Source organism: Homo sapiens, chromosome 15 (genome assembly GCF_000001405.40).
Source record: "Homo sapiens chromosome 15, GRCh38.p14 Primary Assembly".
Classification (NCBI taxonomy): domain Eukaryota; kingdom Metazoa; phylum Chordata; class Mammalia; order Primates; family Hominidae; genus Homo; species Homo sapiens.
The window spans coordinates 42,334,904-42,355,186 of NC_000015.10; the positions used below are offsets into that span (position 1 = coordinate 42,334,904).

A 20,283-nucleotide genomic window follows, 5' to 3' on the forward strand; every position below is an offset into this window, starting at 1 on the left:
AAGACTGAACCAAGAAGAAATTGAATCCCTGAAAAGACTAATAACGAGCTCCAAAATTGAATGAGTAGTAAAAAGCCTACCAACCAAAAATAGCCCAGGACCAGACAGATTCACATCCCAGTTTTACCAGATGTACAAAGGAGAGCTGATACCATTTCTACTGACACTATTTCAAAAAATTGAGGAGGAAAGACTCCTCCCTAACTCATTCTATAATGCCAGCATCATCCTGATGCCAAAACCTGGCAGAGACACAAAAAAGAGAAAATTTCAAGCCAGTATCCTCGATGAACATTGATGCAAAAATCCTCAACAAAATACTGGCAGACTGAATTCAGCAGCACATCAAAAAGCTTATCCACCGTGATCAAGAAGCCTTTATCATTGGAATGCAAGGTTGGTTTAACATACCCAAGTCAATAAATGTGATTCATCACATAAACAGAACTAAAGACAAAAACCACATGATCATCTCAATAGATGCAGAAAAAGCTTTCAATAAAATTCAGCATCCCTTCTTGTTAAAAACTCTCAGCAAACTAGGTACTGAAGGAACATACCTCAAAATAATAAGAGTCATATTTGACAAATCCACAGCCCACATCATACTAAATGGGCAAAAGCTGGAAGCATTCCCCTTGAAAACTGGCACAATACAAGGATGCCGTCTGTCACCACTCCTATTCAAAATGATATTGGAAGAAGTCCTGGCCAGAGCAGTCAGGCAAGAGGAAGAAATAAAGTGCATCCAGATAGAAAGAGAGGAAGTCAAACTATTCCTATTTGCAGATGACATGACTCTGTCTAGAAAACCCCATAGTCTCAGCCCAAAAGCTCCTTAAGCTAATAAACAACTTCAGCAAAGTCTCAGGATACAAAATCAACATATAATAATCATTAGCATTTCTATACACCAACAACAGTCAAGCCTAGAGCCAAATCAGGAGCATAGTCCCATTCACAATTGCCTCAAAAAGAAGAAAATACCTAGGAATACAGCTAACCAGCGAGGTGAAAGATCTCTACAATGAGAACTACAAAACGCTGCTCAAAGAAATCAGAGATAACACAAGCAAATAGAAAAACATTCCATGCTCATGGATAGGAAAAATCAATATTGTTGAAATGGCCATACTGCCCAAAGCAATTTATAGATTCCGTGCTATTCCTGTCAAACTACCAATGACATTCTTCACAAAACTAGAAAAAACTATTTTAAAATTCATATTGAACCAAAAAAAAAAAAGAAAAAAAAAAGAGCCTGAATAACCAAGGCAGTCCTAAGCAAAAAGAACAAAGCAGGAGGCAATATGCTACCCAACCTCAAACTACTACAAGGCTGCAGTAACCAAAACAACATGATACTGGCACAAAAACAGGCATGTAGACCAATGGAACAGAATAGAGGGCCCAGAAATAAGGTTGCACACCTACAACCATCTGATCTTTGACAAAGCTGACAAAAACAAGCAATGGGGAAAGGACTCCCTATTCAACAAGTGGTGCTGGGACAACTGGCAAGCCATATGCAGAAGATTGAAACTGGACTCCTTTCATATACTGTATACAAAATTAACTCAAGATGGATTAAAGACTTAACAGTAAAACCCAAAACTATATAAAAACCCTGGAAGACAACCTAGGCATTACCATTCTGGACATGGGAATAGGCAAAGATTTCATGATGAGGATACCAAAAACAATTGGAACAAAAGCAAAATTGACAAATGGGATCTAATTAAACTAAACAGCTTCTGCACAGCTGAAGAAACTGTCAATAGAGTTAATAGACAATCTACAGAACGGGAGAAAATATTTACAAACTATGCATCTGACAAAGGTCTAATATCCAGCATCTATAAGGAACTTAAGCAAATTTAAGAGAAAAAACAAACAGCCCCATTAAAAAGTGGGCAAAGAACATGAACAGACACTTTTCAAAAGAAGACATACATGTGGCCAACAAGCATGTGAAAAAAAGCTCAACATCACTGATCAATAGAAAAAAGCATATCAAAACCACAATGAAATACCACCTCACACCATTCAGAATGGCTGTTATTAAAAAGTGAAAAGGTAACAGATGCTGGCAAGGTTGCAGAGAAAGGACAATGCTTATACACTGCTGGTAGGAGTGTAAAATAGTTCAACCATTGTGGAAAGCAATGTGGTGTTTCCTCAAATAACTAAAAACAGAACTACCATTTGACCCAGCAATCCCATTACTAGGTATATACCCAAAGGAATACAAATCATTCTGTCATAAAGACACATGCGCGTGTATGTTTACTGCAGCACCTGTTCACAATAGCAAAGACATGGAATAAACTTAAATGCCTATCAGTGGTAAACTGGATAAAGAAAATGTGGTACGTATACACCATGGAATACTATGCAGCCATAAAAAGGAATGAGATATCTTGCCTGTGATCTGGTCTTTGATATTTTTTTCTTTTTTATTAAATTTATTTTTATATATATGAATGAGATCATGCCCTGTGCAGGAACATGGATGGAGTTGGAGGCCATTATCCTTAGCAAACTAATGCAGAAACAGAAAACCAAATACCACATGTTCTCACTTAGGAGTGGGAACTAAATGATGAGAACACGTGGACACATAGAGGGGAACAACAGACACTGGGGCCTACCTGAGAATAGAGGGTGGGAAGAGGAAGAGGATCAGGAAAAATAACTAATGGGTATTAGGCTTAACATCAGGGAGACAAAATGACAAAATAATCTGTACAACAAACTCCTGTGACACACGAGTTTACCAACATAACACACCTGTGCATGTACCCCTGAACTTAAATATTTTTTTTAAATGAGCAAAAGATTTCTATAGACACTTTTCAAAAGAAGATACATGAAGAGGCTGGGCATGGTGGCTCACGCCTATAATTTCAGCACTTTGGGAAGCCAAGGCAGGTGGATCACTTGAGGCTAGGAGTTCAAGACCAGCCTGGCCAACATGGTGAAACCCCTCTCTGCTAAAAATACAAAATTTAGCCAGGAGTGATGGTGCACACTTGTAATCCCAGCTACTTGGGAGGCTGAGGCAGGAGACTCACTTGAACCCTGGGAGGCAAAGGTTGCAGTGAGCCGAGATCACGGCACTGCACTGCAGCCTGGGCAAGTGAGAACATGACTCCATCTAAAAAAAAAACAAACCACATGTATTATATGCAAGTTAAATCTTAAAGTTGATTTTTCAAAGGGTTCCTCTATCAGACCTAAATTATACTTAAAAAAAAGTGCAATTTCAGAATATTTTCCTAGAATGTTTGTTTTGTAGATTTTAATAACTTTTCACGTTAGAAAATTGATACTTTTCATTGTAGAAAATTAGAATTTATTTATTTTAAGGCAAGAAATTGGTTTTCCTTTTCATTAAGTTGTCTTTTACAAATAAGGAATCTACATAGGAAATTGAACGCATGGGTTGATTTGTGATTTTAATACATTGTTGCTGGTGACCAAAGGTGCCGTGTGGACAGGCGACAACACAGCAGAATGGAGCAACTTGAAAATTTCTATCCCAATGTTACTCACTCTCAGCATTACTGGGATCTCTTTTTGCGGAGGTAAGATGAGTCCTTTGAGGCTTGAAGTGCAAGGAAATAAAAAATGAGGGTGTTTTCATCAAAGCTGGTTACAAATCCCTTCTCATTAGCTGTTGTGGGCAGACATAAATGTGGGAAAGAAAAAATGTGAGAAAGTGAAGAGGAGCGGATTAGAGAGGAGAGTGAAAGGCATGCCTCAGAGCTATTTCTATCTGGTCTCTGTTGAGGGCATGAAATCAAGTTGTCAGAAAGGGAGCCAGAGCCATTTTCTTATCACTTCCTTCCTAGACGCTCTTGATAACTAAGTTTCTCTTCCTGACAGCTATCTTTTCTTCTTGAAAGTGAGAAAAATAGAACTACAAGGAATTTAGCAAATCAGAAAGTCAGCCTTACAGAAATTCTTTTTACTCAGCAGATTTAAAATTCTGTGGCATATTTTAACTGTACTAAAACAAAAACATATGCTCTTGAGAAAGATGAATTTAGTTAAAATAAGATTTTCCAATGGACTATCTTCCCTGCATCCTAAGAATTCTCTGTAGATGAGCGATCTCAATATGGAGGGGGCTCAAGATGGCTGCAGTTCCAGCTGCTCTTTGTTTCCTGTAGGAGTAGAAGCAAATTAATATCATTCTTTTGATGCATGTGTTTTTATTGCATTGGTCCATGTACAATACAAGGAATATGTATATACCACTCAGTGGCCCAGCATGGAATTCTATTCTGATAATCAGAACCTCTACTTCTGATTATCTGCTTCTCTTCAGTTCTTTCTGTTTTTATCTTAGTTCAGCTGTTGCTTCCAAAGGAAATCAGTTGCCAACCACCCCCCTCCAACACACACACACACACACACACACACACACACACACACACACACACACACACAGTTATTTAATCAGGCAGACATTTTTCAGTGTCTGGGTTATCTGGTTTGGGGAACATACAGGAATATTGATCTTGAAATAAAGCCTCTGACCTTTCGACAAGAAAGTAATATTCTAAGAGCCCATTGTCAGATCCCCAAACAGGCTGAATTATGTAGTAAGGGGGTCACCTGTTTGAGGCCACGGCTTTATCCTGTCATTTGAAGTGCATATACTGCACTTTTCTCCTGTCGGTCTTCAAGACCTTAATTTCCCTGTGTGCATCATTTATCCAAAGCTTGGTTGCCTCACTTGGCCTTCTTTTGCTTCCAGCTGACATAGGCGGGTTCATTGGGAATCCAGAGACAGAGCTGCTAGTGCGTTGGTACCAGGCTGGAGCCTACCAGCCCTTCTTCCGTGGCCATGCCACCATGAACACCAAGCGACGAGAGCCCTGGCTCTTTGGGGAGGAACACACCCGACTCATCCGAGAAGCCATCAGAGAGCGCTATGGCCTCCTGCCATATTGGTATTCTCTGTTCTACCATGCACACGTGGCTTCCCAACCTGTCATGAGGTAAAAAAGCTTCATCCATTCAGGGACCCCAGCAACCAATCTGTAATAGAAGATCTCAGTGATTAAAGAATGCAATAATTACAGTGATTTCAAGAGAAAGGTGAAGAAAAGCTACATGTTTAATCAAGTTTCAATAAGCTTATTGAGCAGCGCGGTGAACAGGGTGCTGGCTGTTGGGGACACAGAAGATAAAAACTGCTACTGCTTTGTGACTAAAGTATGAATATTTGATAGGAGACAGAATAGAGATATTTCAAAGAAAAAGGAAGTGGCTTTGTAATAAAATTCATTCAGTATTTAACCTATCAGTATCTTCTCATGAAGAATAACTTATTTTGCCAGGCTTAGGCTTGAATCATATGAAAAAGAGTCTTGGCTCTTTGGCACGTTCCCATTTCCTTTGAATAGTTATAAAACTGAAAATAGGCCAGGCTTGGTGGCTCACACCTGTAATCCCAGCACTTTGGGAGGATCATCTGAGGTCTGGAGTTCGAGACCAGCCTGACCAATATGATGAAACCCTGTCTCTAAAAATACAAAAATTAGCTGGGCGTGGTGGTGTGTGCCTGTAATCCCAGCTACTTGGGAGACCGAGGCAGGAGAATCGGTTGAACCCAAGAGGCGGAAACTGCAGTGAGCCAAGATAGCACCACGGCATTCCAGCCTGGGCAACAAAGTGAGATCCATCTAAAAAAAAAAAAAAAACTAAAAATATAAGTGATTGATTGCAATAAGATGTCTATAATGTTAAAACAATAATTTTTTTTCTTTCCCCAGGCCTCTGTGGGTAGAGTTCCCTGATGAACTAAAGACTTTTGATATGGAAGATGAATACATGCTGGGTGAGCATTTCTGTTTTTTTTTTTTTTTTTGAGACGGAGTCTCACTCTGTCACCTAGGCTGGAGTGCAGTGATGCTATCTCGGCTCACTGCAACCTCCGCCTCCCGGTTTCAAGAAATTGTCTGCCTCAGCCTCCTGAGCAGCTGGGATTACAGGTGCCCGCCACCATGCCCGGCTAATTTTTGTATTTTTAGTAGAGACAGGGTTTCATCATCTTGGCCAGGCTGGTCTTGAACTCCTGACCTCATGATCCACCCACCTTGGCCTCCCAAAGTGCTGGGATTACAGGCGTGAGCCACTAGGCCTGGCCAAGCATTTCTTGATTAATTACAGTCATTATAAAAAGTGTAATTACGTTTTTATTATATTTTCTAATATAAGAGCAATAAAAAAGTTCCTAATTCCAAGAAAGACAAAAAATAAAAATATAGGAAATTCCTTCACCAAGATTTCTAATGCATTATTAGTAGGATCATACCTCCATTCTGTTGTGATGTAGCATTTCTCATAATATTGTTCTTGCTGACTTATTTGTGGATGTCGTTTAGGATTCTTGTTCTGGGTTCACTCCTCTAATCCTGTGAGATCACTTGGGGGAAGGGAAGTAGAAAAAAACAGCCCAGGTGGTGATAGTAAAAAACCAGAAGAGCTTATTTCATATGCAATAATAGGGTTTTTCTTTGGTTGACCTCTTCTTTAACAAAGATTAACTATCAAATCCAGAACATAGAATTTTACCAGCTTAGTAGCAGGGCTCAAGAAGCCAGGCTAAATATACTGTTCCCCAAAGGGTGACTCTCATTTCTGAGTTCTATTTTTTTTTTTTTTTAAATGGAGCCTCACTTTGTCACCCAGGCTGGAGTGCAGTGGTGTAATCTTGGCTCACTGCAACCTCTGCCTCCGGGGCTCAAGCAATCCTCCCACCTCAGCCTCTCGAGTAGCTGGATCACAGGCATGTGCCACTATGCCTGGCTAATTTTTTCTATTTTTAGTAGAGATGGGGTTTCGTCTTGCTGCCCAGGCTAATCTTGAACTCCTGACCTCAGGTGATCCACCCACCTCGGCCTTCCAAAGTGCTGGGATTACAGGTGTGAGCTACCACGCCCAGCCCCGTTTCTGAGTTCTTTTAAGTCTCCACTCATCATTAGGTCTCAGTTTAATAGTCACTGCCTTGGAGAAACTTCCCTGACCACTCCTGGTTTCCTTATACCTTATTCTACCTAGTAAAAATCAGCCCCTCTTATTATGTAACTTTCATTCCATTTTGTAATTTGGTCTCTTTTGGTATTTGTCTTAATTCTAATTAATTTGTAATTATTTTTTAATATTTGTTTTCACTAACTGTAAACTCCGTAAGGTCAGGAGCCACGCTTGTCTTATTGGCCACTATATCCCCAGAGCCTAGCATGGTGCCCGGCATGCAGTAGGCACTCGAAATAAGTATTTATTGAATAAAAGAGCAAAGTAGTAAGTGGGTGAATTTTACATACGTGTTGTGCCAAAGTCAAAGCAAATTTAATAATCCAGATTGCCTTTAAGAAAACTAGAGGCCAGGCATGGTGGCTCATGCCTGTAATCCCAACACTGTGGGAGGTCGAGTATGAGATCGCTTAAATTGAGGAGTTTGAGATTAGCCTGGGCAATATAGCAAGACCCTGTCTCTACAAAAAATTTAAAAATTAGCTGGGCACGTTGGGTGTGTACCTGTCATCCTAGCTACTCAGAGGCTGAGGCTGGAGGATTACATGAGCCCAGGAGTTAGAGGTTGCAGTAAGCTGTGATTGCACTGCTGCACTCCCACTTGGGGAACAGAGTGAGACCCTGTCTCCTGTCTCTAAGGAAAAAAAAAAAGAAAAAGAAAACTGCAGCCTCTCTGATGATAACTCCAAGCAAGAGGGTCTGAGCACCCACACTGACCACACTTCTGGATAATAGTTGTGGGCTCCCCATCTTCAGCTTCACTGACAGCAAACAGTAAAGCACTTGGAAAGGAGCAATGGGGGTGCTTTGACTACTGACACATTAGCAGTTAGACACAAAATGAGACCGATGGACTGTGTCAGAGTCCCTTCCTATAATCTCAGTATACCCAGAGTGCATTAATGACAGGCGATGACCTTTTTGAGCTCACCTCTTTGAGCGCCTGCCCTCTTTCTATCAGTGCATCTCTCTAACAAATCATTGGTTCAAGTCAGTCTCTGCCTCTCCAAAGTTCACAGCTGGGAGGTCTGTAACACCATGATAGCTAGCACTCAGTTAAAGAGAAAGGAGATTTTTAGACCTCTTATAATGATACTCAACTTTATTTCCTCTCCATTACTTAGGGAGTGCATTATTGGTTCATCCAGTCACAGAACCAAAAGCCACCACAGTTGATGTGTTTCTTCCAGGATCAAATGAGGTAAGAGTAATAACAGCCACATATCTGATATGTCTCATATCTCTCATCCCTTCTTTTCTTTTAGGAAAGAGATTTCTTCATCATGTGTTTGTGAACACACCCCAGATGACTATAGCAAGTAATTATTATAATAAGTCATGACCACTGTCCTCAGAGGTCAAGAAACTTAATGGAGGAGAGGAGGGAGAAAGATGAATTGGTGAGGATTCCAAGGAGGATCAGAATGATTTTTAGTCTTCACACTTTGACTAGTAAAAGTGAGTCCTGATAAACACACCGAGGCTTGGGGTAGGAAGAAATCTTCAGTCTGCTATGAGGTATCAAACTCTGGGGGAAAGCAGATATGAAGTGACTTTGCTCTTTGGTCTGGCTCTATCTGAAGCCTGAGTTTTTGGTACCAAAAGCTGGTCTCAATACACTCACTGAAGTGGGTAAAAAGTAAAAATAGTGACTCCCCTCCCACATTCCTCTGCTCTTTTATTAGTTATTGTCACTAATTACTGTCCCAGGTATAAAATATCATCCTAGACCTGCTGGAGCCCAGGGCACTGAACCCAGGCAGGGCACAGGGGAGAGGAGGGAATACCAGCGGTCTGCAGGCAGAGAGCCATGGGTAATAAGAGCAGCCTTCAGAGACAGGCCACAGATAAATCCAGAAGGGCCAGGAGAAGAGCTGGAGCAAAACTCAGGTCACCAGACTAAGGGAGGAGGGTGTGGAAGGGAGAGCAGGAAGGAGACAGACCCTAGAGAGCATCCTTGAGCACGGGAGCATGCCACAGGGTTCAGCAGGCAGGGGAAGAGCCACGCAGGTATGGAGCTGGCATGGGACTGCCAGGCCACATAGTCATGGACTGTCAAGGCAAGTGGCAAGGTAGCTGAGCCAGGCCACGCTTGCTGCTCAGTACTGTCAGGTGCTGGGCTGGCAACCCCATGAAACCACATCCAGCGCCGTGCTCTCCCTCAACATAGCTTTACATGTTTGGTTGTTCTTTTAGTTTCTTGAGGCTTCTGTAACAAATTACCTCAAACCTAGTGGTTTAAAACAACAAAACTTTATTCTCTCACAATTCTGGAGGCTTGAAGTCTGAAATCAAGGTGTCATCAGGGTTGGTTTCTTCTGGAGGCCCTGAGGGAGAATCTGTTCATGCCTCCCTCTTAGCTTCTGGAGGTTGCCAGCAACCCTGGGCTTCCTTGGTTTGTAGCCACGTCACTGCAGTCTCGCCTATCTTCATGTTGCCTTTTCCTCTGTGTGTCTCTGTCTATCTCTTATAAGGACACTTGTGGTCACATTGAAGGCCCACCTGGATAATCTGGGATAACCTCCTTGTCTCAGGATCTTTAACTTAATCAAACCTGTGACCATAGAAGGTAATATTCATTCCTTCCAGGGATTGTGACGTGAGTACATCTTTTTGAGGGGCGACGGTTCCATCTGCTATGCTTGTCATTATTGACAGAACAGTAACCAGGCTTCTCTCCAGAATGTTCATGAACTATGGTCTATTCTCTTGGTTTCTCCAGTTATTTGGAGTTCTGAAGATGAGGGCTCTTTACTAAGGTTCCCCTGCCAAGTAGAAACCTGAGGAAAAGGTTAAATGCAACAACTGCTGAGTAAATGCCCTGCCAGATATTTTTGCTGAGAATTTCTCAAGTTGATTCCAGCAAAGTGGTGGGTTCCCATTAAGAGGAACTGGCTCCCTTTCCGACTTAGTCACAGAGTTTTATTCGTGATCTATCATCATTCCAAACACGTCGTTGTGAGTGTGTATTATGTTCCTTCAGCACTATTTCCTGGACTGTTCTGTGATTGTTTCTCTTGCTTCACAAACCTGCCGTATAAAGGATGTGGTAATCCCTGGAGGTGAACTTGCAAAATAGACTCCAGGGCTGCCAGAAAGTGTACTGAGCTAGAAGAAAGAAAAAGATGTTTGCTTTCATTCTGCTTCTGATGATATCTTAAGAATTTATCCCATCAAATTACTTTAGAGACCTTATTGGTACTTCAGCAACTAAACCCCCTTGATAGATAACAACCTTATCTTTGAATTGTGCTTTGTTTAAAAAAAAAAAAAAGATACTATAATAGTAATTCAAGTTTCCATTTTTTTCCTCCCAGATATGTTTCCTTCTCTGATGCTTCCTTTTCTCCTGCCTCTTTTGTAATTGATTTGCCTGCAATGTGCTTGTCTTCTTTGTTGTTTTTTTTTCTTTTCTCCATCACCTCTTTCACTACTAGAAGCATTAAGTTTTTATAAGCCAAATGGACTATAAGATCCATGAGGACAGGAACTATGTCTTTTCTGTTCAGTCTTGTATATTCAGCACCTGGCACAGTGCTGGGCACATGGTAGATTGTTCAGTCGGTAGCTTTTGGATGAATAGAAAACAAATGGCCTTTTAGTTAAATTAATCAGCCATAGTCTTTTGGGATCTTCCTAAAAGCACGTATTCTTCCTAACTTCTACCCAATATATTTTTTAAGTTATATTTATTTTAGCTTTCTGGTTATTTGAAATCCAGGTAAGTGGATATTTTGCTGACTAATGAAATGGTGAGCAGAGTTGCTTATGTACTCTTTTTTACTGGACTCTGTTACTTTCTAGGTCTGGTATGACTATAAGACATTTGCTCATTGGGAAGGAGGGTGTACTGTAAAGATCCCAGTAGCCTTGGACACTGTAAGTTATTTTCAGACTACTATTTTTACCTATCATGCTCTATTGGTCGGCTAGGGCTGCCATGACAAAATACCACAGACTGGGTGGTTTTACCCAACAGAAACTTATTTTCTCGAAGTTTTGGAGGCTGGAAGTTCCAGATCAAGGTGCCAGCCGATTCTGTTCCTGGTGAGAGATCTTTTCCTGGCCTATAGACTGCTACCTTCTTGCTGTGCCTACACATGGCAGAGAGAGATAAAGAGAAGGTGCTGTCTCAGTTTTCTTCTTACAAGGACACTGTTCCTGTCGTTTCAGGACCCCATCCTTATGACCACATTTTTAACCTTAGTTAACTCCATAAAGGCCTGATCTCCAAATATCTCAGGCTTGGGGATTCAGCATATGAATTTGGGGGACATACAAACATTCAGTCCATAATGTGTTCCTCTGTAAAAAGAACCAAGGATGCTAGTGTTCTGCACAATAGCACATATGCATAGAGACAGAAGGTAGGTCCGGGGGTGCCTAGTGCTGGGGCAGAGGAGGGTTAAGGAGTCATGGGGAATGACTGTAAACTGGTCCAGGGTTTCTTTTTGGGGTGATGAAAATGCTTTAAAATTGAGTGTGGTGATGGTTGCATGACTCTGAATATGCTGAAAACTGTTTAATTGTATACTTTAAATTGGTGAGTTGTATGGTATATGAATTCTATCAAAGCTGTAAAATGTGAGAAAAAAAGTTAAAAATCACATCTACTCTGATTTCACAGAATGAGACATCAGAGACAAACACACCTCTTCCCCGTATGTTTACATTTGTGTGTCTAAGAAGAACAAAAACACTGAAAACAAAAAACATGGTAGTCACCATATGTGCCATCTGGAATATCATTCTACAGGATTAAGGCAAAAAACAGGAGTTTTCAGTTGTAATCCTGGGCCCAGGGGAATGCATCAGTTATGATGTTAAAATCAAAGTGGTCCATCCAGGCTATCTTGAGTTTCTAAAGGGAACTTTCTTTCTACACCTGAATTACAACCACTGCCACACTACTACAGGCCCAAAGTAGTGTGAAGATTAATAGATACTGATATTATTTTGTAAACCATCAGCAGCAATATGAACCCCATTATTTAAAAAAATAGTTTCAGATACCAACTTTCAGATCTAGAAGAGAACTTAACAATTATCTACTCTAATCCCTCACACAGGTAAAAAACCCTGAGATTCAGAGAAGTTAAATTATTTGTCCAGGAACACAGCAAACTTGTGGCAGAATTGAGACAAGCCCCCAGGTGCATTCCCTTGGGCTGGACTCCCATTCTGGAACCCATTTCACTCTAACTTATGGCCTTGTTCTTTGAAAAAAAAAAAAAAAAAGAAGAGAGAGATTGGCCAGTGAGGAAGGGGCATGTGTGGGGAGATGGAAGTGCTTTACTTCTCACTGCCGAGGCAAGTTAAGCAGAGGTGGGACATCTGAACTACTGAGTCCTCAGTCTCAACTTCATGTATGTTCTTGTACTCTCCTGCATGCTCATTCTTGAGTCAGAGCAAAGCACAAGCCCTTCTCTGACACAGGCAGCTTCCTTATAGGAGGTGGGAAACCTACCCTGGCATTGCTACCTGGAGTGCCATTCCAGAAGACTCATAGTTATGGGCCTGTTGTTAGGGTCTCTTAAAGTACCCTTGGTAGTCTCTAATGTAAGAGCAGCAGTTTCACAGATTTACCCTCAGAATTGAGTCAGTCATCCAGGTAATCCATGTAATCCAAACAGGGAGCAAGAGGGGACAGGCTGCAGTGAGTGAGGACAAAAGTCATCTGTCCAAACCAAGAAACCACCATCAGTTATACATACACACATACACAGACTTCTGGGCCCACTCACACAGACAGAAAACTTCACTCTTCAGCAGGGTTCTGGAAATAAGCATGTATATACTACACTGATAGGAAAATTTAAAATACAAAATAGGAAAAGCCACTTATAGGATGGGCAGAAAGGAATTCATCACTTAAGAGGAAAAAACAGCAAAGACAGGTATAGATAACAAACCAATGAAGGGTGGGAAGTTTCCCTAATAATTAAAAAGTGGACCATTCTTCAGCGTTAGAGCTCTTTTCCTTTTAATGCCAGGACCCCCATATTTGCCATCTCTGTGCCCCAAAATTTATTTTGCCTACAAATCCGTACTTGTAGACTGTGAATTTTATAAAATGAAATATTTTTAAATTCTACCTTGAAATTTTCTTATATGAATACTGCTTCCCTGAGCGTGCTGCTCTGTTACAGATTCCAGTGTTTCAGCGAGGTGGAAGTGTGATACCAATAAAGACAACTGTAGGAAAATCCACAGGCTGGATGACTGAATCCTCCTATGGACTCCGGGTTGCTCTAAGCACTAAGGTATTTGGTAAATCTGTTACTCATTTTGTTTCTACTCTTTCTTTACAGTGATAGCCTTTTGAGTGTGTGACACTACGTAAAAGTGGTGAGCTCCTGACATTTATCTAGAAATCAAGGTTTGAATCATTTCTGAATCATTGTTCAGCTTGTCTGCCTTCCTTGGAATTGTTCTTAAGGGAACCTTTGAGATCTAGGAATGACAGAAATGTTCCTCTTGGGCACTGTGAGTGTTGGTGCTCTTCAACTTGACGTTGATTACTACTGGAGTGAATGCTTTTTGGGCCATAGACAGCCTTCCCACGTGGATTAGCCCTGAAACCCAGTCTCCCATAAAACGGTACCCATGTCTATGCACCATTTCAGAGATCCCAGTCCCAACCAGTGATTTCTTATCAGGTAGCTCCAACAACTAAAACCCCCTTGGGCAAAGCCTGGGAGGATCCAGAAGTGATGTGTCCTTTTCAGATTTTTTAAGCCTAGTGAGGCCTGTAGCAGATTCCTCTCCTGTCCATTTGTTCAAACCTAGTACAGGGCCAAACACCAACCCTTACTCTTACTATATTAATACTCACTTGCATTGATATCAATATTATAAAATAATTCAGTTGTAGGGTTTTTTTTCCCCTATCTTTTTCACTTAGGCATGTCTTCTTGGGCCAAACTATGGGTCCCAGACCCATGTGAGGCCCCAGAATAAATACAAAAGACTAGCGATCCATATCCTCCTACTAAAAATAAAAATAAATTTAAAAAAAGGAAGCAGATACCATTCTCTGAGTGGAGGGTCTTCTAAAGATAGTTGATGTCATCTATTATGTATTAATTTTTTTTAACATCGTTGTCATTCAATGAACTTTCTTGGCCTTGTTGTCACATTCTGGTGGAGTATTTTCAGGGAATCCACTTATACCACTGAACATACTTCACAGTTTAAATTCTTTGAACAAAGCCTAACTCTTTGTGCTCCTCTTATGTGACTTTCCTATTGTTTTACTATCTACTCAGGAGTGATTGGCTATTGAATATGTTAGGTATTTGTACGACTACTTTATATAGCTTGAATTTTTCACAAACTTTTTACTCTGTTGTTACCCTTTAGGAGCTGACATTCTTTTCCTGTAAAGCTATCATATAAGCACATTCTGTCTCTGTGATTCATTCTCCAGGGTTCTTCAGTGGGTGAGTTATATCTTGATGATGGCCATTCATTCCAATACCTCCACCAGAAGCAATTTTTGCACAGGAAGTTTTCATTCTGTTCCAGTGTTCTGATCAATAGGTAATGGCAGCTAAAGAAACTGTTTGTTTTCTTAAGTAAATCACACTATCCGTTCAGCATCCTCAAATCAAATGCACAGGTATGTTTTAAGTTACTATTTAAAGAAATGAATGGTGAAGGCCGTTTCCGGAATATTTTTTTCTTTTCTTTTCTTTTCTTTTTTTTTGAGACAGAGTCTCACTCACTCTGTCGCTCAGACTAGAGTGCAGTGGCGTGATCTCAGCTCACTGCAACCTCCACCTCCTGGGTTCAAGTGATTTCTCCTGCCTCAGCCTCCCAAGTAGCTGGAACTACAGGCATGCACCAACATACCCGGCTAATTTTTGTATTTTTAGTAGAGACGGGGTTTCACCATGTTAGCTAGGCTGGTCTCAAACTCCTGACCTCAGGTGATCCACCCACCTCAGCCTCCCAAAGTGCTGGGATTACAGGTGTGAGCCACCGTGCCCGGCGCATTTCTGGAGTATTTTTCAACCTTTCTACCATAAACAATCCTCCCTTATTGTCTTCACCTTTCTTTCCCCCACTTTTTTTTTTTTTTTTTTTTTTTTTGAGATGGAGTTTCACTCTTATTGCCCAGGCTGGAGTGCAGTGGCACAATCTCGGCTCACCGCAACCTCTGCCTCCCAGGTTCAAGCGAGTCTCCTGCCTCAGCCTCCCAAGTAGCTGGGATTACAGGCATGCGCCACCACGCCTGGCTAATTTTGTATTTTTAGTACAGACAGGGTTTCTCCATGTTGGTCAGCCTGGTCTCGAACTCCCGACCTCAGGTGATCTGCCCACTTCGGCCTCCCAAAGTGCTGGGATTACAGGCGTGAGCCACTCCGCCCATCTCCCCGACTTTCTAAAAAATGAAAAAGGACTTAATTTAAGTTCCCACTAATTCCATTCATTCATCCATTCACCAGCTCACTAAATATCTGATTTATTACAATTTGATTATAATATCCAAGTCACATTTGTAACTTTTGTGTTCTTCAGTTATTTTTCAAATAACTTGTTAAAAAGAGCCTGATTTGGCCACCAGTTAGCTGTTCCTTGGTACACAGAGTTGTCTTTTTTTTTTTTTTTTTTGAGACGGAGTTTTGCTCTTGTCGCCCAGGCTGGAGTGCAGTGGCATGATCTCAGCTCACTGCAACCTCAGCCTCCCGGGTTCAAGCAATTCTCCTGCCTCAGCCTCCTGAGTAGCTGGGATTACAGATGCCCACCACCATGCCTGGCTAATTTTTTGTATTTTTTTAGTAGAGACGGGGTTTCGTCATGTTGGGCAGGCTGGTCTCGAACTCCTGACCTCAAGTGATCCGCCCACGTTGGCCTCCCAAAGTGCTGGGATTACAGGCATGAGCCACCATGCCCAGCGAGTCGTCTTTTATTATTATTATTATTATTATTTTGAGATGGAGTCTCACTGTATCACCCAGTCTGGAGTACAGTGGTGCGATCTCAGCTCACTGCAACCTCTATCTCCCAGGTTCGGGGGATTCTCGTGTCTCAGCCTCCCAAGTAGCTGGGACTACAGGCACCCACCACCACTCCTGGCTAATTTTTGTATTTTTAGTATAGACAGGATTTTGCCATGTTGCCCAGGCTGGTGTTGAACTCCTGGCCTCAAGTGATCTGCCCACCTCGGCCTCCCAAAGTGCTGGGATTACAGGCGTGAGCCACCGTGCCTGGGTCTTTTATTATCTCTTCATCCTAGTAAATATGACTCCCATATGGATCATGCCTCCAAGGGACAGATGGGAGAGGAACTCACAAGGCTGGAGATGTTGAGCTGGTGGCCACTTCAAACCCCCATCCCTCTCCTTTTAATACTGTTTGTATCTATTCCAGTTTTGCTGACCAGAGGGGTCATTATCCCAGCAAGTGTGTGGTGGAGAAGATCTTGGTCTTAGGCTTCAGGAAGGAGCCATCTTCTGTGACTACCCACTCATCTGGTGAGAAAGCAGTCCATTCTTACCTCACCATTTGTTTTTATAAACAGAAGTATCTGCAGTGAGATGATTAGTCCCCAAACGGAGATAATATGCTGAGCCTGAGTGTGTGCTTTCAGGTAGAGGTGAAATATACTAGTCTGTAGAATAAATGAGGCCATCTTGCTTCTCTTCATGAATTGATCTTTCTGCTCACTTTTAATGTTTTTCTAAGGAAACTTATTTGGGGCTTGAAATAATATCATAGCTTCTCTGAATATTTGTTTAAACTATAGCTGCCTGAAGACCTGGAAAATCCTACCCATGTGTTTGGAGTTTATGAAAGGGCAGGATGGGACTTATATCCTTCCTTGCTTCCTGAAGTTCTTGGACAAATTTATTCATTCCTTACGGTTTCTTTTCAACCAATCTTGCGGTCAAAACAATGAAGTTTTCCACGTTTCTAAAACTTCATGGAAGTTCATGGGTAAAAGTGCTATTAATTTGGAGTGGGGTATAAGGTTTTATGATACAGTGAGAAAACATTTCAGATTTGGAGAAAAGACTTTTCCCTTCTAGAGATTCATCAAAATTTCCCTCTTTTATTGTCTTGCTATTTAGATGGTAAAGATCAGCCTGTGGCTTTTACGTATTGTGCCAAAACATCCATCCTGAGCCTGGAGAAGCTCTCACTCAACATTGCCACTGACTGGGAGGTCCGCATCATATGACAAAGAACTGCCCCTGGTGATGTGAGCAGGGACCTGCCTGCCCCTTTCAACCTTTCCCCTCACCTTTTTTGAGATTTTTGCTGCAATCTGTTTGCCTTCCCTGAATCAAAATAATCTTTCATTCGTCACCATTATACTAATGAACAATAGATTTCATGTTTCAAAATTTCAGATTTTACATGTTAAGATGTACTAACAATATTCCTTGTATCAAACATCTCCTTTTCTCCCTGATACATAGCCCTGAGACATTTATAGCGTTCAGGAGTCTTCTATTGCTTCCATTCCTTCAGCAGGGCTGCGTGGGTCTGTTTTAACGTGGGCCAAGCCTACCTGGGCAGCCCATTTGCCAGGGCTTGCCTCAGGCCATGCAGCATTGGCGCTCTGGCTGCAGCAGCTGAGTTGCTCAAGGCCAGTGTCCAAGTGGACAGCAGCCTCTGGTACTCCCCCCAGTTATCTTCCACCCACATGGACTGGGCAGAGCAGCCCTCTTCTGTGTGCACTGCATACGCTGCAGCCGTGGGAGTTATTCTCCCCTAGAGATCGACTTGGCAGCACGAAGGATTCTTTTCTCTTTCATGCTTCTCAGGCTCAATAGTTTCTAATTAATCTTAAAATCCATGTCTTTTACATTGTTTTTTTAATTAAGTGCTGTTTACTAACCAAATAATATTTATAACATGAGTAAGCTATAATTAATAACAATGAAATAAATACCCATGTACCCACCACTGGACTTCAGAAGTAGAACTCATGACTGGGACTAGGATGAGGCAAGGGAGACCCTGGCCTTGGGCACAAAATGTAAGGGATGCCAAAAAAATACAGTAATCAAAGTAAGTAATATTTCAATCCAATATTTTTAAAAATCAGAATTAATGCAAAAAAAACCATGATGAACAAAATATTAAAATTTAAAATAAAGACAGGATTAGTATTACTGAGTTTTCCTTTTGTCCCAGGCTCTAATATGGCTTGGCATGGGGCAGAACATTACAACATACCAGTCGTGTCATGGTGCCCAAGGCTCCACAGACCTCAGTGGCTCCCTGCTGCCTGCCACAGCATCTGTTTTAGCAGCCTCGACTCCTCAGCACTCCTCAGCACACACCTCTTCTTATCAGGCTTCCTCCACTTAGCAACTTGCTAACGGCCACCTCTGTGCCTTCTGATCCCTGGGCGCCAATATCCTCCTGCCCTTACCATCCTTCCAGGCCCAACTTAAATCCCACTTTCCCATGAAGCCTAACTGCGTGAACACCCCTACCCCCATACCCATTAGCAGTGATTTTGCCCTTCCCCGTAATGCTGTCCCACTTATAACTGTGCTCTACTTAGCATTCTCAGGGATCATACCTTAATGTTTTCAGTATGTCTGCGTTCTCCTACTAGATTGTATGTCCCTCAAGAGCATGTTCTGTTTCTCTTCTGTCTGACAGAGCACTATTATACCTGACTTTCAGTAACTGTTAGCTGTGATTAGTTAGCTGGTGGATTTAATTGATTAAAAAATTACGATTGAATGTATTTCCATCTGATTTGCTTTTCTGGTACAAGATTCTTCCCAAAGGCAATCAACATTGTGCATTTCCTTGTGGACACATTTCATAGTATGAGTTGAGATTTGAGCTCTGCACCATATGTAAGCTCACAGAGACCTGCACAGATTCTTTGCTCCTATTTCTGTAAGTTTTGCAGTTGAGAAGAAAGGAGCAAGCTTATATTAGCTGAAGCCATGGTGCCTATCTTCAAATTTCCCTTGCCAACCTAAAATAAAACTTAGCCAGAAGACTGGGTGCTCCTCCCTAATATAAATGATAGTTTTTAATAGCATTTACAGTTGAATAAGAACTATCTTTAGGTCAACATTTATTGCACGTCTAGTCTTCCATTTAAAATATTATTGGAGGAATGGAGCAGTAACTAGTAGAGTAAGTTAATGAGGAACTGCTCTGTTTTGACCCAAATCTATATTGAAACATTTGGCTAGAGACAAGTGGAGACAGCCTGGGTGTTTTTAATGGTTTTCTGCTCTTATTGCTTCTCACACTTTACCTACCTCCCATTTCTGAATTTGTGTACCAGAGAGCAACATGGGGCTGAGTTGGCCTACAGGTATTGTTACTTTTTTGTGGCTAATTCTTAATATGGTTTCATAGGAAACTGGATTTTATATAAGAAATTTTATTCATTTCAACAGGGTTCCTAAAAAAGCTCTAAAATGAATGCATAGTGTGTCTTTCCTTCAAGATGTAAATGTCAAGGAATGAGTTGGCAAATCAGTTTAAAAACACAAACTACCCAACAGAAAAATGTAAGTATAATCTTTCAGAGTGGCAATCTGGCAACAATATAAAAAATATTTTAATTTTAATAAAAATATGTGGGGGTCTCACTATGTTGCCCAGGCTAGTCTTGAACTCCCGGACTCAAACAATCCTCCTGCCTTGACCTCCCAAAGGGCTGGGGCTATAGGCATGAGCCACTGTGCCTGGCCTTACCTCCTCTGTTGGAACAGTTGGCAACATTGGAATGGGATCTTTTGATTACATGGTAATTTTTTTACTTTTGAGCATTGTATTAGGATCATATAGAAGAATTTTCTTGGTTTTAAGAAAAATACAATTCTGGAGTTTGGTCTGTGTGCAGAATTCCTTCACTTTGTCACATCCTTTTCACTATCAAGGCATCAAAATGATAAGCAGCAGAAACACAGTCAAAGCACATAAACACTGGGAGTTGAATAGTTTTTAGCTAATTAACCACTCTGCCTGAAAGCCTTAGTAATGAGATTCCTAGGATTTCCACCTACCAAACCCTCGAAGGGCTACTCTAGACTAAAATAACTTCTCAGGCCAGTGGGTAGAAAGCCATCAGCAGCTCCACTGGAAACAGGCTATCATATTAGCCACTGACAATGGAGGCCATATAGCTAGCATTCTAGGAGAAATAGCAGAGACATTGGCATCTTATATCAGATCTGCTTGTCTCATGACAAGCCTTGCTAAAGGCTATAGTGCCACACGAAGACTTGCCAGAATTAGACA

The 20,283-nt window shown here is 41.4% G+C and overlaps 1 protein-coding gene across 3 annotated transcripts in view; it reads left to right on the forward strand.

Annotated features, from left to right (window-relative positions):
• Nucleotides 1-18,763, forward strand: part of GANC (glucosidase alpha, neutral C) — an 80,466-nt gene extending 61,703 nt beyond the window's left edge. For all 3 annotated transcript variants that reach the window (NM_198141.3, NM_001393928.1, NM_001393929.1), the window contains 9 exons: nt 3,486-3,587; nt 4,766-5,009; nt 5,787-5,851; nt 8,175-8,251; nt 10,855-10,929; nt 13,200-13,313; nt 14,480-14,592; nt 16,426-16,529; nt 17,127-18,763. In NM_198141.3, the coding sequence (NP_937784.2) occupies nt 3,486-3,587; nt 4,766-5,009; nt 5,787-5,851; nt 8,175-8,251; nt 10,855-10,929; nt 13,200-13,313; nt 14,480-14,592; nt 16,426-16,529; nt 17,127-17,236 (1,004 nt within the window). In that variant the 3' untranslated portion in view covers nt 17,237-18,763. The remainder of the gene's footprint in view (nt 1-3,485; nt 3,588-4,765; nt 5,010-5,786; nt 5,852-8,174; nt 8,252-10,854; nt 10,930-13,199; nt 13,314-14,479; nt 14,593-16,425; nt 16,530-17,126) is intronic.